The 18,002-nt window shown below is 35.9% G+C and overlaps 2 annotated features.

Moving 5' to 3' along the window:
- Nucleotides 6,851–7,352: an enhancer, noted in NCBI's record as "H3K4me1 hESC enhancer chr11:98077541-98078042 (GRCh37/hg19 assembly coordinates)". NCBI's record gives its function as "activates a minimal SCP1, AML or CMV promoter by ChIP-STARR-seq in naive H9 embryonic stem cells {active_cell/tissue: H9 hESC(naive)}" and the evidence as "EXISTENCE:reporter gene assay evidence [ECO:0000049][PMID:30033119]".
- Nucleotides 7,353–7,852: an enhancer, noted in NCBI's record as "H3K4me1 hESC enhancer chr11:98078043-98078542 (GRCh37/hg19 assembly coordinates)". NCBI's record gives its function as "activates a minimal SCP1, AML or CMV promoter by ChIP-STARR-seq in naive H9 embryonic stem cells {active_cell/tissue: H9 hESC(naive)}" and the evidence as "EXISTENCE:reporter gene assay evidence [ECO:0000049][PMID:30033119]".

The raw sequence follows: 18,002 nt of genomic DNA on the forward strand, positions 1-18,002 counted from the left end.
TGCCAGATTTATTGATTCGTTCTCTCTGACACATACATATATACACAATTTAAGCCCTTAAAAAACACTTTTTTTGTACTTAAAGGCAAAATGTAGTAAGTGTGCTTAAGACAAAATTAAAACAGTCATTAAAGGCATATGTGGCACAAAAATTTCACTATCTCCTAAAATCTGTACATTAGACTTAAAAGATATTTGGGTTAGCAAAGCAGTAAAGAATATCATGTATGGGGTGTGACAACTGCTATGTATAGAATTAAGAGGAGTTGAACTGTGGTATAGAAATTTGGTATAATGTTTACCTTTAACATGAACAGTGTTATTCTGGGTCTAGAATAAAATTAGTTTGGACCTATTTTTTGCAGAAAAACCTAAAAATTAGGAAATTAAAATGCAAATTATTTTAGAAGGCATACAATCCTCAAATAATATCCACTTCTTTGGGAGTTTCTTTGTTTTTTTTCTTTATTTCTTCTAAAAAAAAAAAACAGGATACATGCACAGAACATGCAGGTTTGTTACATAGGTATACATGCGCCATGGTAGTTTGCTTCACCTATTGACCTGTCCTCTAAGTTCTCTCCCCTCACGCCCCACCTCTTAACTGGCGCTAGTGTGTATTGTTCCTCTCTCTGTGTCCATGTGTTCTCAATGTTCAACTCGCACTTATGAGTGAGAACATGTGGCGTTTGGTTTTCTGTTCCTGTGTTAGTTTGCTGAGGATGATGGCTTCCAGCTTCATCCATGTCACTGCAAAGGACATGATCTCATTCCTTTTCATGGCTGCATAGTGTTCCATGGTGTATATATACCACATTTTCTTTATCTAGTCTATCTTTGATGGGCATTTGGGTTGGTTCCATGTCTTTGATATTGTAAACAGTGCTGCAATAAACATACATGTGCTTGTGTCTTTATAATAGAATGATTTATATTCCTTTGGGTATATACCCAGTAATGGGATTACTGGGTCAAATGGTATTTCTGGTTCTAGGTCCTTGAGGAGTCACCATACTGTCTTCTACAATGGTTGAACTAATTTACATTCCCACCAATAGTGCAAAAACATTCCTCTTTCTCCACAGCCTTGCCAGCATCTATTATTTCCCGACTTTTTAATAATCGCCATTTAGAATGGCATGAGATGGCATCTCATTGTGGTTTTGATTTGTATTTCTCTGAGGATCAGTGATGTTGAGTTTTTTTCATATGTGTGTGGGCTGCATAAATGTCTTCTTTTGAAAAGTGTCTGTTCATATCCTTAGCCCACTTTCTGATGGGGTTGTCTTTGTCTTGTAAATATGTTTAAGTTCCCTGTGAATTCTGGATATTAGACCCTTGTCAGATGGATAGATTGCAAAAATTGTCTTCCATTCTTTAGGTTGCCTGTTCATTCTGATGATAGTTTCTTTGGCTGTGCAGAAGCTCTTGAATTTAATTAAATCCCATTTGCCAATTTTGGCTTTTGTTGCCATTGCTTTTGGCTTTTTTGTCATGAAGTCTTTGCCCATGCCTATGTCCTGAATGGTATTGCCTAGGTTTTCTTCTAGGGTTTTTATGATTTTGGGTTTTACATTTAAGTCTTTAATCCATCTTGAGTTAATTTTGGGTAAGGTGTTAGGAAGGGGTCAGGTTTCAGTTTTCTGCATATGGCTAGCCAGCTTTCCCAGCACCATTTACTGATTAGGAGATCCTTTCCCCATTGCTTGTTTTTGTCAGGTTTGTTGAAAATCAGATGGTTGTAGATGTGTGGTGTTATTTCTGATGTCTCTGTTCTGCTCCATTGGTCTATACATCTGTTTTGGTACTAGTACCATTGAAGGAGATAGAGACACAAAAAACCCTCCAAGCAGTCAACAAATCCAGGAACTGTATTTTTGAAAAAATTAACAAAATAAGCTGGGCGCAGTGGCTCACGCCTGTAATCCCAGCGCTTTGGAAGGCTGAGGCAGGCTGATCACGAGGTCAGGAGTTCAAGACCTGCCTGATCAACAGGGTGAAACCCCATCTCTACTAAAAATACAAAAATTCGCCAGGCATGGTGGTGCACACCTGTAATCCCAGCTACTCAGGAGGCTGAGGCAGGAGAATTGCTTGAACCCGGAGTCGGAGGTTGCAGTGAGTGGAGATCGCACCATTGCACTCCAGCCTCGGCGACAGAGTGAGACTCTGTCTCAAAACAACAACAACAAAAAAAGACAAAGAGAGAGAAGAATCGAATAGTCACAATAAAAAAATGATAAAGGGGATATCACCACTGACCCTACAGAAATAACAGCTACTGTCCAAGAATACTATACACACCTTTATGCAAATAAACTAGAAAATCTAGATGAAATGGGTAAATTATTGGATCCATACCCCCTACCGAGACTAAACCAGGAAGAAGTTGAATTCCTCAATAGACCAATAACAAGCTCTGAAATTGAGGCAGTAATAATTAGCCTACCAACTAAAAAAAAAAAAAAAAAAAAAAAAAAAATCCCAGAAGTATTCGCAGCTGAATTCTACCAGAAATACAAGGAGGAGCTGCTACCTTTCCTTCTGAAACTATTCCAATCAATTGGAAAGGAGGGACTCCTCCCTAACTCATTTTATAAAGCCAGCATCATCCTGATACCAAAACCATGAAGAGACACAACAAAAAATAAAACTTCAGGCCAATATTCCTAATGAACATCAATGAGAAAATCCGCAATGAAATATGGGCAAATTGAATCAAGCAGCACATCAAAAAACTTAGCCACCACGATAAAGTTGCATTCATCCGTGGGATACAAGTCTGGTTCAACATAGGCAAATCAATAAATGTAATCTATCACGTAAACAGAACAAAAGAAAAAACCACACAATTATCTGAACAGATGCAGAAAAGACCTTTGATAAAAATCAACATCCCTTCACATTAGAAACTCCCAAAAAACTACATACTGATGGAATATATCTCAAAATAATAAGAGCTATTTATGACAAACCCACAGCCAATATCATATTGAATGGGTAGGAGCTGGAAGCCTTCCCTTTGAAATCTGGTTCAAGACAAGGATGCCCTCTCTCACTGCCCCTATTCAACATAGTATTGGAAGTTCTGACCAGGGCAATCAGGCAAGAGAAAGAAATAAAGTGTATTTAAATAGGAAGAGAAGAAGTCAAGTTGTCTCTGTTTGCAGACGACATGATTTTATATTTAGAAAACCCCATCATCTCAGCTCAAAAACTTCTTGAACTGATAAGCAACTTCAGCAAAGTCTCAGGATACAAAATCACAAGCATTCCTTTACATCAACAATAGGCAAGCAGAGAGCCAAATCATGAATGAACTCCCATTCACAATCACTGAAAAGAGAATAAAATACCTAGGAATACAGCTAACAAGTGATGTGAAGGACCTTTTCAAGGAGAAGTACAAACCACTGCTCAAGAAAATGAGAGAGGACACAAACGAATGGAAAAATAGTCCATCCTCATGGATAGGAAGAATCAATATCATGAAAGTAATTTATAAATTCAATGCTATTCCCATCATACTACCATTGACATTCTTCACAGAATGAGAAAAAAACTGTTTTAAATTTCATATGGAATCAAAGAAGACCCTGTATAGTCAAGACAATTCTAAGCAAAAGAACAAAGCTGGAGGCATCACACTACCTAATGTCAAACTATACTACAAGGCTACAGTAACCAAAACAGCATAGTACTGTTACCAAAACAGACATATTGACCAATGGAGTAGAATTTCAGGGGTTCAAAAGCAATGAGATTTATTTTCAAAATTCTTTGAAAAAACATTTTTTAATCAGATAATAAATCTATCTGTGTGTCCGTAGGTATTTCAGGTTTCATTGTACCTATAACATGATTTATTTTAAAATAAAAATAAACATAGGCATAATCAGCAACATCACTGTTTCAACTAGAGAGTTCCATATGGCCCCTACCCCACATTTGTTCCTTTAAGTGAGAAATCTAATACTAGGGTATTAAATTCAGTACTTTCTTTGAAAGTGTAAAATACTTCCAAATATGCACATACAATTTTCATAAATGTGCCCTTTGAATTTTCACAAACTTTGCACTTCGTGTAGCCTCCAAGCATATCAAGAAAAAAATAAATTTTATCAATACCAGAGAAGCCCACTCTTGCCTCTTTCTGGTCAATAACCTACACCCTTCAACATTATACAGATGTCTAACAGTAAATATTATTTATTTTCTGTTTTGTACTTTATATAAATGCAATCAAAGTGTATTTTTTTGCATCTGCATTTATTGTTTCAACATTCTCATTGTGTTTGTTTATTCTTATCTCAGTATAGCACTACATTATTTGATATAACCAAGGAGGTGAAAGATATTTACAAGGAAAACTACAAAACACTGCTGAAAGAAATCATAGATGACACAAACAAATGGAAACATGCCATGCTCATGGATGGGTAGAATCAGTATTGTGAAAATGACCATACTACCATTAAATGCAATTCCTATCAAAATATCATTATCATTCTTCTCAGAACTGGAAAAAAAATCCTAAAATTCATATATAACAAAAAACAGCCTCCAAAGCAAGACTAAGCAAAAAGAACAAATCTAGAGGCATCACATTACCTGACTTCAAGCTATACTACAAGGCTATATTTACCAAAGCAGCATGATACTGTTATAAAAATAGTCATGTAGACCAATGGAACAGCATAGAGAACCCAGAAATAAAGCCAAATAGTTATAGCCAACAAATCTTTGACAAAACCAACAAAAACGTAAAGTGGTGAAAGGACACCCACTTCAACAAATGGTGCTGGGATAATTGGCAAGCCACAGGTAGAAGAATGAAACGGGATCTTCATCTCTCACCTTATAGAAAAATCAACTCAAGATGGATCAAAGATTTAAGTCTAAGTCCTGAAACCATAAAAATTATATAAGATAAACATTAGGAAAACTCTTCTAGACACTGGTTTAGGCAAAGAGTTCATGACCAAGGACCCAAAAGCAGATGCAACAAAAACCAACGTAAATAGATGGGACTTAATTAAACTAAAAAGCTTCTGCACAGAAAAAGAAATAAATGATAAGCAGAGCAAACAGACAACCCACCAAATGGAAGAAAATATTCATAAACTATGCATCTGACTAAGGACTAATATCCAGAATCTACAAGAAACTCAAATCAATCAGAAAAAAAAAAAATCCCATCAAAAAGTGGCCTAAGAACTAAAGGGGCTGAGAATAATTTTATGTGATTATTGACCTCTTAGATTTCTTGTTTGGAAAAGGACATTTTATTAGTGTGTTTCATACTGCTAATATAGACATACCTGAGACTAGGTAATTTATAAAGGAAAGAGGCTTAATGGACTCACAGTTCCACATAGCTAAGGAGGCCTCACAGTCAAGGCATGAGGCAAAGGAAAAGCAAAGGCATTGTCTTATATGGTGGTAGGCAAAAGAGCTTGTGCAGGGGAACTTCCATTTACAAAACCATAAGATCTCCTGAGTCTTCTTCACTAGCATGAGAACAGTATAGGGAGAAACCACCCCCATGATTCAGTTATCTCCACCTGGCCCCACCCTTGACACTTGGTGATTTTTACAATTCAAGGTGTGATTTGGGTGGGGACACAGCCAAACAATATCACAGATGTTCAAGTACTTTGGCCATTTTTTGTTGTTGTTTAATTGTTTGCCTTTTCTTACTGCTTTTTAGTAATTGCTTAATTGTACTCTGAACATGATTTTTATGTCATATGTATATATCAGAAGTATCATCTCTCTGTGACTACTTTTTGAATCTCATAATTTTTTAAAGGAAATGTTCTTAATTTAAATACAGTCAACCATATCTCTTATCTTCATGGTATTTGAATCCTTCATGTGGGAACTATGCCTTCTTCAAGTCATAAAGATGTTCTCCTATTTTTTTCTAGAACATTCATAATATTACCATTCTCATTTATGACTACAATTCTTCAGGAATGTATTTTTGTGTATAACATAGAGTACAGATCCAGATTCATTTTTTTCCCATATAGATATGAAATTGACTAAGAACAATTTATAGAAGAGTCATTTCTCTACTTTGTTCTAGGATCACATTGTTATGAATTAGGTGCATAGGTGAATTTGTTTCTGGATTTGATTATGTCTATTGGTTTAACTGTCAGTCCTCAAATCAATACCACACTGTCTTGAGAAATATATTTTTATATTTAGATTTTTACTGTATATGTTTAGCAAAATTATTTTTTGTTGTATTTGTTTGTTTTTAGAGATGGGATCTAACTATGTTGCTCAGCCTGAACTCAAATTCCTGGGCTTAAGTTATCCTTCCACCTCAGCTTCCCACTTAACTGGGGACACAGGTGTATACCACCATGGCTGGCTCATGATATTTCAATATACGTATACATAGTGAAATAATTACTACAGATAAGCAAATTAACATATCCATGATGTCAAATGGTTTCCTTTTTTGTTGGTAAAAGTACCTAAAATCCACACTTTTATCCAGTTTTCAATAGTACTAACTAGAGTGGTTCCCCCGATAACTTGTGGTTTCACTTTCTATGGTTTCAGTTGCCCATGGTCAACCACAATCCACAAATATTATGTAAAATAATATATTGAGAGAAATTACATTCACATAAATTTAACTACAATATATTGTTGTAATTGTTCCTTATTGTTTTTAATATCTTACTGTACAAAATTTATAAGTTTAACTTTATCACAGATATGTATATAGATAAATAGAAAATGGAGTATATATAGGGTTTGATAATATCCATGGTTTGAGGCATCCAAGAGGATGTCGGAACATGTCTTCTGTTATAAGAGGGTACTAGTCTATTGTCTTCATTGATGTATCTTAAATCTCTAGATTTATGAAACTGTAACTTTGTACACTTTCACCTTGGTATCCTCATTCCCCCACTCCATCTCTCTACCTGGTAACCACCTATCTTCTGTGTTTTTATGTATTCAAGTTTTTTTGTTGTTATTTTCAGTCCAAATGTAAGTACAATCATTCCGTATTTTTCTTTCTGTGACTGGCTTATTGCACTTAAAATAATGTCTTCTAGGTTCATCCATGTTGTAGCAAATTGCTGGATTTTGACACAGAATCTTAGGTGTTCCATCACTAACCAGAAAACTCTGTGGCCGGTGGCACCTCTGCTTGGGTTTTGCTCATGTCTGCTGGACTCATTCCACCCATGCGGCCCAGCAAGCTGTGGTTGGCTTGCACTATCCGCCCAGATCCTATGCCTGACAAGGGCGAGCCAAGCACGGAGCAGCTAGTGGTGTGTGAGCAAGTGAGTGTGGGGTCCAGCCACTGCGCACAGCAAGGTGTGCCAGCTGTGGCAGGATAGGCAGCTCCAGGTGCTGGCACAGGCACTGGCTCCACGTGAGGGTGCAGCTGTACCAGGCATACTGCAAGCAGCTTCCACTGTAGGCACTGGGGAACATGGTGTAGCCCGAATGCTCAGAGATGCCAGGAAGCACAGAGCTCCAAAAGGGTGTTACAGGGTGTCACAGCCCAGGCTCAGGGAGCCCCACAGTCTGGGCCCCCAGAGGGGCCACAACTCTTTTCTCCTCATCACCTTCAGGGCAGTGAGCAGTGGAGTGGGGGTGTGTTTTGGGGGTGTGTGTTTCAGCCCATCCGTGTTACAGCTATTTCAGTACTGCTGCCCTGCTCCGGCCGGCCCACAGCTCCTGGGCTGTCCAGGCCCTGCCACTGCTTCCCAATGCATTTGGCAGCTGCTGGGCACGGGCATAAGATGGGAGGGCTATAGTGTTACTGCAGCTCAGCTAGGGGAACCCCAAGGTCTGGGCCCCCAGAAGGGTTGCCACTCTTCACTCCCACAGTCTGGGAGCATGACACATCCTGCAGCTCAGCAATCCAGTCCGGAACATGTCACAGCTCCTTTCGCTCCTGCCAGTGGGTTCCAAATTGTTCTCCTGCATCCAGGAAGAATGAGGTTATGTGGACAACTGGAGGATGAACAAGGTAAAGAGGAGCTTTACTGAGCAACAGAACAGCTCCTGAAGTGGGTAACTCCTATTTACAGGCAGGTCATCCTGAAGAGCGCAGTGGAGACCCAAAGTGGGTAGCTCCTATCTGCAGGCAGGTCTTCTTGAAGAGTGTCTGAGTCTGGCTCAGTCTGGGGGGTTTTAATGGGCTCATAAGGGAGAAAGCATGTGCTGATTGGTCCATGGTTGGCCATGGGTGGGCCTGGAAAAAGCACCATCCAACCAGCCAAAAGACTTATTAAGGAAGTTTTCACTGTGGGTTGTGGACTCCATCCGGAACTGGCAGCGCAGTCCCCAACCTTCAGGCTGTCCCTGGCTTGAAGGTGGGGTTTCACCAGAGACCCACCTCTTCCCACCTAGGAACCTGTCTGCCTCCTGCTGACATCAACATGCTGTCTACAGCACCCAGGAAGTCCATGCAAGGGGCACTTGCAGGCCCATGGCTAGCTGCCTTCAGCTCCCCAGCTTCCCTCCCATGCTCGACGGTGTCCAAAGTCCAAAGGGGGCTGAGGTGGCAGGGGCCTGGCATGTCAGCACTACCCTGGGCATGAGCATACCTGGCCAGGTCACAATAGCACCTGGGCTCTGCCACAACTTTGCTCCACATCAGAGTGGGTGCTGGGAGCAGGGAGAGGCCAAGGAGTGGGAGGAGGCACTTTAAGCCTGCGGGGGCAGGGGGCTTCTCAGGCCCCAAGAGCACAGGGATGCCCAGGTCTGGAGCTGCAGCTGCGCCTGGGAACATGGGGCTCTAGTCCTACCAACTCACTAGCGGGTGGGGATCTCATCTGTTCCTGGCTCCACGGAGCACATAGCTCTGGCCGCACCTCTCCTGCTGCAGCTGGCGTCTTCCTCACAGCGGCTGCCCTAGGTAGGCTGCTGCTATCAATTTCCTTCTTCTATAAAACTGAAAATAATTCCACTGTATATATAGACCACAATTTCTTTATTCATTTATCCATTAGTGGACATTTAGGTTGTTTCCGTATCTTAGCTATTGTGGATATTGCTGAAAAGAACATGGGGATATAGGTATCTCTATGAGGGTCTAATTTTATTTATTTTGAGTAAATACCTGAAGAAAGATTACTGGGTCCTATGAGAGTTCTGTTTTTAGTTTATCTGGTGTATTCTGCCATTCTTGCATTTCTATAAAGAAGTACCTGAGACTGGGTAATTTATAAAGAAAACAGTTTTAATTGGATTACCGTTCTGTAGGCTGTACAGGCAGCATGGCACCGGGCATCTTCTTGACTTCTGATGAGGCCTCAGAAAGCTTACAGTCATGGTGGAAGGCAAAGGGAAAGCTGGCACATAACAAAGCGAAAGCCTGAACAACAGAGAGAGAGTGGTGGAGGGAGTGTTATCCACTTTTAAACAACCAAATCTCATGAGAACTTACTATTTTGAAGAAAGCACCAAACAATGAGGTATTCACCCCCATGACACAAACACCTACCATCAGACCCCACCTCTGGAATTGGGGATTACAATTAAACATGAGATTTGGGTGGAGACAAATATCCAAACTCTATTATCCAAGAACCTTCATATTCTTTCCACCATCACCGCACCAATCTACATTTCAAAAAACAGTGCACAAAGGTTCCTTTTGCTCCACACCCTTGTCAACATTTGTTGTCTCTTATCTCCTGAATTGAGTAGCTGAGACTACAGGTGCATGCCCCCATACCCAGCTAAGTTATTATTATTATTATTATTATTATTATTATTATTATTAATTTTTGTAGAAACAAGGTCTTGCTATGTTGGCCAGGCTAGTCTTGAACTCCTGACCTCAAGCTGTCCTTCCACCACAGCCTCCAAAAGTGTTAGAATTACAGGTGTGAGCCACTGATCCAGCTCTTGTCTTTTTGATAAAAGCCATTCTAATAGCTGTGAGGTGATAGCTCACTGTGGTTTTGATTTGCATTCCCTGATGATTAATGATGTTGAGAACATTTTCATATACTGTTGGCCATATTTATGTTTTATTTGGAGAAATAATTATTCTGGTCCTTTGGTCATTTTAAATTCAAGTTGTTCATTTTATTTTGCTATTGAGTTGTGTGAGTTCCTTATATGTTTTGGATATCACCTCTTATCTGATACATGTTTTATATATTTAGATATTGATCACTATGTGGATCTCCAGTTTTGCTTTTCTTAGTATATGGTTTTGTTTTGTTTTATTTGAATTTGATTTTTTAAAATATATTTTCTTGCCCTATATTATGTAGATCTGTGGGAAATAAGGAGATAAAAGCTGAGATCTTCATTACCCCTGATATGTATATAGTTGTCCCTTGGTATCTGCAGGGGATTTGTTCCAGGACTCCCTGTGGATACCAAAATCCACAGATACTCCTGTCCTTTTTATAAAATGGTCTAATATTTACATATAACCTACACATCCTAGATAATTTATAATATCCAATAAATGTAAATGCTCTGTAAGTAGCTGTTATACTGTATTGTTTTTAAAATTTCTATTATTTTAATTGTATTGTTATTTTTTATTTTCTGTTTTGGCTATTTTTGATCTATGGTTGACTGAATTCACAGACATGAAACCTGTACATATGGAAAGTCACCAACTCTCTCTCTCTCTCGCTCTCTCTCTCACTATAGATAGATAGACAGATAGATAGATAGATAGATAGATAGATAGATAGATAGATATGCACACACACATGCACATACATCATGTTAGTACATTTCCCTAACCCGGTTGAACATCCATACATGTGATCACACACACATACACACACAAACACATTGCTTAAGGTGACATCTTTCAGAGAACTGTGAAGCATAGAAATGTTTATATTTATCCTAAGAGGACCAGGTTTTCCTACAGTTTGATAAATCCTCCATTGCGTATTCCTTTTTCTAAGGCTGGAATCCTTCAAATTAGAATTTCCTCTGAGGGCAAAAATCCCTGAAAAAATTACCAATTGTTTACAGTGATGGAAAAGGTAAACAGACTTCCCACTAATCAAGGTTTTTTTAATAATGGAAGACTCAGAATTTAAGCAGTTTATCTTCTGCTTCATTATTGATATATTTAAAAAATAATCCTTTAATATATGTAATCTTCAAACTTACAGAACTTCTTACTCATTTTCCAGTAGGTTTATTTATTTCTTCTGCATTAATACACTGGAAAGACCTTAAAAAATTTTTTATTGTTTTTGATATCAGGCATTCTTGACTGAATATTTTGATTATTATTTTTAGCCATAATATATCTTTTTAACAGGTTACTTAATATTAGTCACTTTACTTAATTTACATGTTAGAGACACATTTTAGAATTTTATGTTTTAATTTGGAAAATATATTAGATTTCTCAACATCTCATCTATACCAACGGAAATTTTAATTTCTTTTTTTTTTTTTTTTTTTTTGAGATGGAGTCTCGCTCTGTCGCCCAGGCTGGAGTGCAGTGGCGCGATCTAGGTTCACTGCAAGCTCTGCCTCCCAGGTTCACACCATTCTCCTGCCTCAGTCTCCTGAGTAGCTGGGACTACAGGTGCCCGCCACCATGCCCAGCTAATTTTTTGTATATTTAGTAGAGACGTGATTTCACCTTGTTAGCCAGGATGGTCTCAATCTCTTGACCTCGTGATCCGCCCCCCTCAGTCTGCCAAAGTGCTGGGATTACAGATGTGAGCCACCATGTCCGGCCATATTTCTTATTTTTTGAACTCATATATTGCTTTCCATTTACCTAGAGGTTTTGATTTGAACTAACCATATTTTTTCATTAGTTATTTTCTCAAGACTATTTGATAATATTGTCCTTAATATTTTTATGTCCATATCTATGTAGAAAGTTTGTATATTTTGAAAATTGTAAGTCTATATGTGTTGTTATTTTTTGTTCAGTGTTGTCTTTTTGCAAATAGATTCATTAAATTTCTATATTTGTGTATAGCTGTATAACTTTATATAGCAGGTACTATTTTGATACTTAAAATAATTTACCTGAAAATTTATCTGGCAACTCATCTTTATGTGATTTTTACATTTAAGAAACTATTATAGTTTCAGTGCAGAGTTTCTATATTTAGTTGTCAATTTTGCTAATTGATTTTTTTTTAAAATAATATAATGTTTACATTCTCAGTTTGGGTGTAGAGCTATATACAGTGTTATTTAAAATGTTTTATTATAATCTTTTCAATATTTTAAATGTCTAATAATATATACAGCAAAAATACTTTTCATATTAATTTTTTAATAAACATTGATTTATAAAAAGTGTTCTGGGATTTTGTTTGGAAATGCATTAACTCTGTATATGAATTTGAGGAGAATTTACATCTTATTAATATTGTGTCTTCCAATCCTTGGGCACATTACATTTATAAATTTATTTATGTCTTTGATTTCTTTCATCATTTTTGCTTTGTTTTGTTTTCAGCAACAGAACTTAAAGGAAAATTTATTTTGTCTATTTTTGTAGTACATTGGAGATTACCTGATTCATAGTAGTTGCTCAATAGATATTTGTCAAATAAGGAAATGAGCTGAGAAAAGTCTAGACAAAGCAAACGTATGCAGGGCTTATTCGGGGGTTGGCAAAAATTAATGAGGAGAAATCAGAGTATATTTTAGTGCTCAGAGTTTGAAATTATGATATGAAAATAGCACCATGGCATATGGGGTGGTATCAGACTCTTTATTTTATTTACACTTGAAAGCATCAGCGTTTGGAGCAAGGTGAGATATTTATATTTGCTTGACCCATGTGTGCTACATTTGGAAACATAAATGCATGAATGGCCATTCATGCTGAAATATTTTAAAAAGTAAGGGATAGTAAAGAGATAGCTCAAATTTGGCTGAACGTGCAATATTTTGTTACAGCCTACAAAGTCAAGAAAATAAATTTAGAATAATGTGTAATATCGTATAAGAAATATGTACTTATTTCTTATGTACTCATCAAAAGAGATGAGTCTTATCCATTTGGATGAGACTATGTATTCATCCAAATATTTGAATTTGATTAAGGCAATTATGTTTGTCAAAATTACTCAGAACTCATTTTCGAAATCATAGATTACAGTGTTGGAAAGAGACTTAAATGATCGCACGTTTCTAGACACTTCAATATTATCAAAATTTCTGACAAAACGAGAATCCAATTTATGTTTACAATAATTAATAATGACATTGCACATACTTTTGACTCTGTTCTGATTCCTTGACATATACATTATTAATTATTTATTTCTCACAAATTTCCCACGACCCAAGAATAATTATTATTTTCACTTTATAGATGAGAAAACAGAGGCAAGAAAGATTATCTGACATACTCAAAGTCACGCAGTAAATTATTTACTTTTTCTTAAATATGTGACAATTAAATTTATCTCAATGTTTTTTGTAAGCCTAGGTAATTTAAATATTTAAATATTCTTTCCTGATATGCTTGCATTTTCCTTGTTAGACATCTCACTCCCACTTCTTATATAACATTTTTCAACTTTTCAACACTTGTATAGCTATGGTATTTATATGCCATAATAAAAAGTAACTATCATTAAAATTACATTTTTATAACCTCAAATTTGTTTTTTTCATAGTTTTATGCCATGAAATCATGTACTTGTGTATCTATCTATCTATCTATCTATCTATCTATCTATCTATCTGTCTTCTATCTGTCAAGGTTCCTCAGAGAAAAAAATAAACAACAGGATGTGTGTGTAGGTATATAAAAATATTAATCACCTCACACAATAATAGAGCAGATCAAATGTGTAGTTTGGGCCAGAAATCTCAAAATTCAGGAGAACTAATGATGGAGATAAAGTTCAAAAGCAGTCTGCTGAAAAATTTCCTCTTACTCAAGGGAGAGTCAGTTTGCTTGTTCTATTTGGGCTTTCAAATGATTGCATGAGACCCTTTTACATTCTGACAGCATTGTTTTACTCTACCAATTAAAATGTTAATCTCACCCAAAAACTGTCATGGAAATACCCAGAAAAATGCCTGACCAAGTTATCTGGGCACTCTGTGGCCAAGTCCAGTTGACAACTAAATTACCCATCTTTACCTTCTATCTATCTATCTATCTATCTATCTATCTATCTATCTATCTATCATCTATCTATCATCTATATATCTATTGTCTACCTATATGTTTCTATCTTCTTTAATTTTTTGTCAAACTAGTTTCTGAGGAAATCTTTTAATGTTGTGATGACATGCAGGCTGTTTTAAGGCAAAATTTTCTATTGTAACTTAGCAATTTCTGAGCTCACAAAATTCTGTTTTCTTTCACTGTATGCCTATCCAAGTGATTATCTCCTAGATCATTGCTTTCTCAAAATCTCAACTGCCCATGTGGAAAAGTAATGGCAACAAAACTTGATCTAAATTTTGCAGATATTTCTCTGAGACTTAACATTCTCTCGATATCCATCTCCTCATGCCTAGAACTGCTTTTCTTCCCCTTATTATACAGAATGACTGATTTTCTCTAGGTGATGTATCTTATTCATATCATAGATATGATCTTTTAGTAAACAGCTTAGATTCCAAGTTGACTGTGCTGTGTGTGAAGACTGTTGTGTGTACAAACTTATATAATAGAGTACTCTTTTTCTATTCTCTACATCTTAGTGTTTCCACAAAGAAACCACTCATGTGCTTATTTTTCTTTGTTACAAAAGCTTTACTAATACATTCAAAATGTCTGTCAGGTTAATATTAACATTCCCAAGTTAGTGTTTATTATTTTAAAATAATTTTACTATAAATTGACAATTATAATTGTATGTCTTTGTGGAATATGGGATAATGCCATAATGTATTAATACAGTGTGAAATAATTAAATTAACCTAATTATTGTGTGTGTGTGTGTGTGTGTGTGTGTGTGTGTGTGTGTGTGGTGAGAAAATTTGAAATGTACTCTCAGCTATTTTGAGATACACAATATGCTATTATTAATGGTATTCACCATGCTGCACAATAGATCTCAAAAAAATAAAACTACGCCTCCTAGATGAGATTTGTAACCTTTGACAAGCATCTTCCCATTCCTCCACCCTATCCGCTGTAACCACTATTCTACTCTCTGCTTCTATGAGTTCAATTGTTTTAGATTCCACATATGTGAGAAAATCACATACTGTTTTTCTGTGTCTGGTTTATTTCACTTAGCATGATGTTCTCCAATTACATCTATATTGTCACAAATGACAATTTCCTTCTTCTTTATGGGTGAATAGTATTTCGTTGTGTATAAATACCACATTTTCTTTATTCATTTATTTTTTGATGGACACTTAGGTTGATTTCACGACTTGGCTATTATAAATATTGCTGCAATGAACATGACAGTGCAGACTTCTCTTCAACAAACTGCTTTCAGATCTATTACATAAATACCCAAAGGTGGAATTTCTGGATCACATGGCAATTCTATTTTGTTTTTGGAGGAACCTCCAAAGAGTTTTCTGTAATGGCTGTTCTAATTTACATCCTCACCAACAGTGTACAAGTGTTCCCTTTTCCTCATATCCTCATCAACACTTATCTGTTGTCTTTTGGATAAAACCATTCTGGCAATTGTGAGATATCTCACTGTAGTTTTAATTTGCATTCCCCTAATTATTAGCAGTATCCAGTATTTTTTAATATATCTGTTGGCTATTTGTATGTCTTCTTCTGAGAAATATCTATTCAGGCCTCTGGCCTATTTTTTGATTATGTTCTTTGTTTTCTTGCTATTGAATTTTTTGAGATGCTTATATTTTGGATATTAACCTCTTATCAAATGTGTGGTTTTCAAACATCTTCTTTCAATACATAGGTTTTCTCTTCATGCTGTTTTTATTTTCTGTGCGGAAACTTTTTAGTTTGATATAATTTCATTTGACTACTTTTTGTTTTATTGCCTTTATTTTTGGTGTCAAATCAAAACAATAATTGCCTCAGACAAATGTCATGTACTTTATCTCTGCACACATTTTTTTCCTTGTAGTTTTACAGTTTCTTGTCTTAAGTATTTAATCCATATTCTTTTATATATTGTGTTAGATAAGGGACCAATTTTATTCTTCTGCATATAGATATCCAGTTTCTACAAACTGTTTTCTGAATAGACTATCCTTTTCTATTGTATATTTGTGGCACTTTTGTTGTATTCCAATTGTTTGTATGTATGGGTGTAGATTCATTTCTGAGCTCTCTATTGTGTGTCATTAGTTATGTAGCTATCTTTGTTACCAATATGATGTTGTTTTAATTAACACAGTTTTGTACTGTAGTTTGAAACAAGGTAGTATAATGACTCCAGATTTGTTCTTTTTTGCATATGATTGGCTTGTCAATTCAAGTTTTTTGTGTGTTTCTATGTGAATTTTAGGACTGCTTTTCCAATTTCTAAGAAATATGACATTGGAATTTTGATAGGGATTATATAGCACCTGTAGATTTCTTTGGGTAGTATGTATATTTTAACAATGGCAGTTTTTCAAATCCATGAACATGGGATATATTTCCATTTATTCATGTCTCCTTCAAATTTTTTCATCAATGTTTTATAGTTTTGGTGCGTAGATCCTTCACTTCCTTGCTTAAATTTATTCCTAAGTATTTTATTTTTTGTAGCTATTGTAGGTGGGATTTTTCCCTTGATTTCTTTTGCAAATAACTTATTTATTGGTATATAGACATGCTGCTGATTTTTGTAGGTTGATTTTGTATCCTGTAACTTTACTGCAGTTGTTTATTAGTTCTAAACGTTTTTTGGTGGATTATTTAGGGTTTTAAAATATAAGATTAAATTATCAGCAAACAGTTACAGTTTCACTTCTTTCTTTTCTTTTCGAATGCCTTTTATTTATCTATCACGCCTAATTTCTCTGGCAAGCACATGGATAACTACATTGATTCGAAATGCTCAGAGTGGGCGTTGGTATCTTGTTCCAAATAGACGACTGACTTTCAAGTTTTTATCATTGAGTAAAATGTTAGCTGCAGGCTTCTCATATATGGTCTTTACTTATTGAATTACATTCCTTCTATACCTAATTTGATGAGAGTTTTTATTATGAATGTGTTGAATTTTGCCCAGTGCTTTTTCTGCATCTAATGAGATGACCATAATTTTTGTCTTTCATTCTGCTGATGTGATACATCACATTTATCAATTTATGTATATTGAATAATCCTTCAATGAACCAATCTGAAACTGAGGATTTATTTTTTGAAACATATTATTTAATTTCAAATACATGTCTTTATTAATTATAGGGTTATTTAAATTTTCTCTCTTATTGGGTGGGTTGCATTTGTGTTTTTCAAGAAATTGTTCTGTTTCACCTAATTGTCAAAATTGTTTGGGTGGAATTGTTTGCAGTGTTTCTTTTTTATTATGCTAATGTTCGCAGCATCTGTAGTAATATCCTCTGTTTTATTCGTGATATTGATCATTTGAGCTCTCTCTCTATCTCCCTCTTTCTATCTACATCTGTCTCTTGGTAATCTACAATCATACCAATTGTATTCATCTTTTAAAGAGTCAATTTTTGTGTCATTAACTTTCTCTATTTTTTAATGTTTTTCTGTTTATTCACTCTTTTTTTCCGTTTGCTTTTAATTATTTTCTTTTTCTAGTATCTAGAGGTAGGTGCTTGGGTTATTGGTTTCAATGTTTTCTCTTGTGTGCATTTAGTACTATAAATTTCCCTTTCTACTGATCAAATTTTAACCATTTCCTTAATTTTAAAAATATTAAGATAATGGAAAGGACGTGGTGCTGCATGCCTGTAGTCCCAGCTATTGGAGAAGTTGAGGTAGGAGGATCACATCAGCCTAGGGTTAAGACTGTAATGAGCCATGGTCAGTCACGCCACTGCACTCCAGCCTGGGGCAACAGAATGAGAACCCTACCTCCAAAAAAAAAAAAAAAAAAAAAAAAAGATTTTGGATGGTTGTCTTACTG

Source organism: Homo sapiens, chromosome 11 (genome assembly GCF_000001405.40).
Source record: "Homo sapiens chromosome 11, GRCh38.p14 Primary Assembly".
Lineage (NCBI taxonomy): Eukaryota > Metazoa > Chordata > Mammalia > Primates > Hominidae > Homo > Homo sapiens.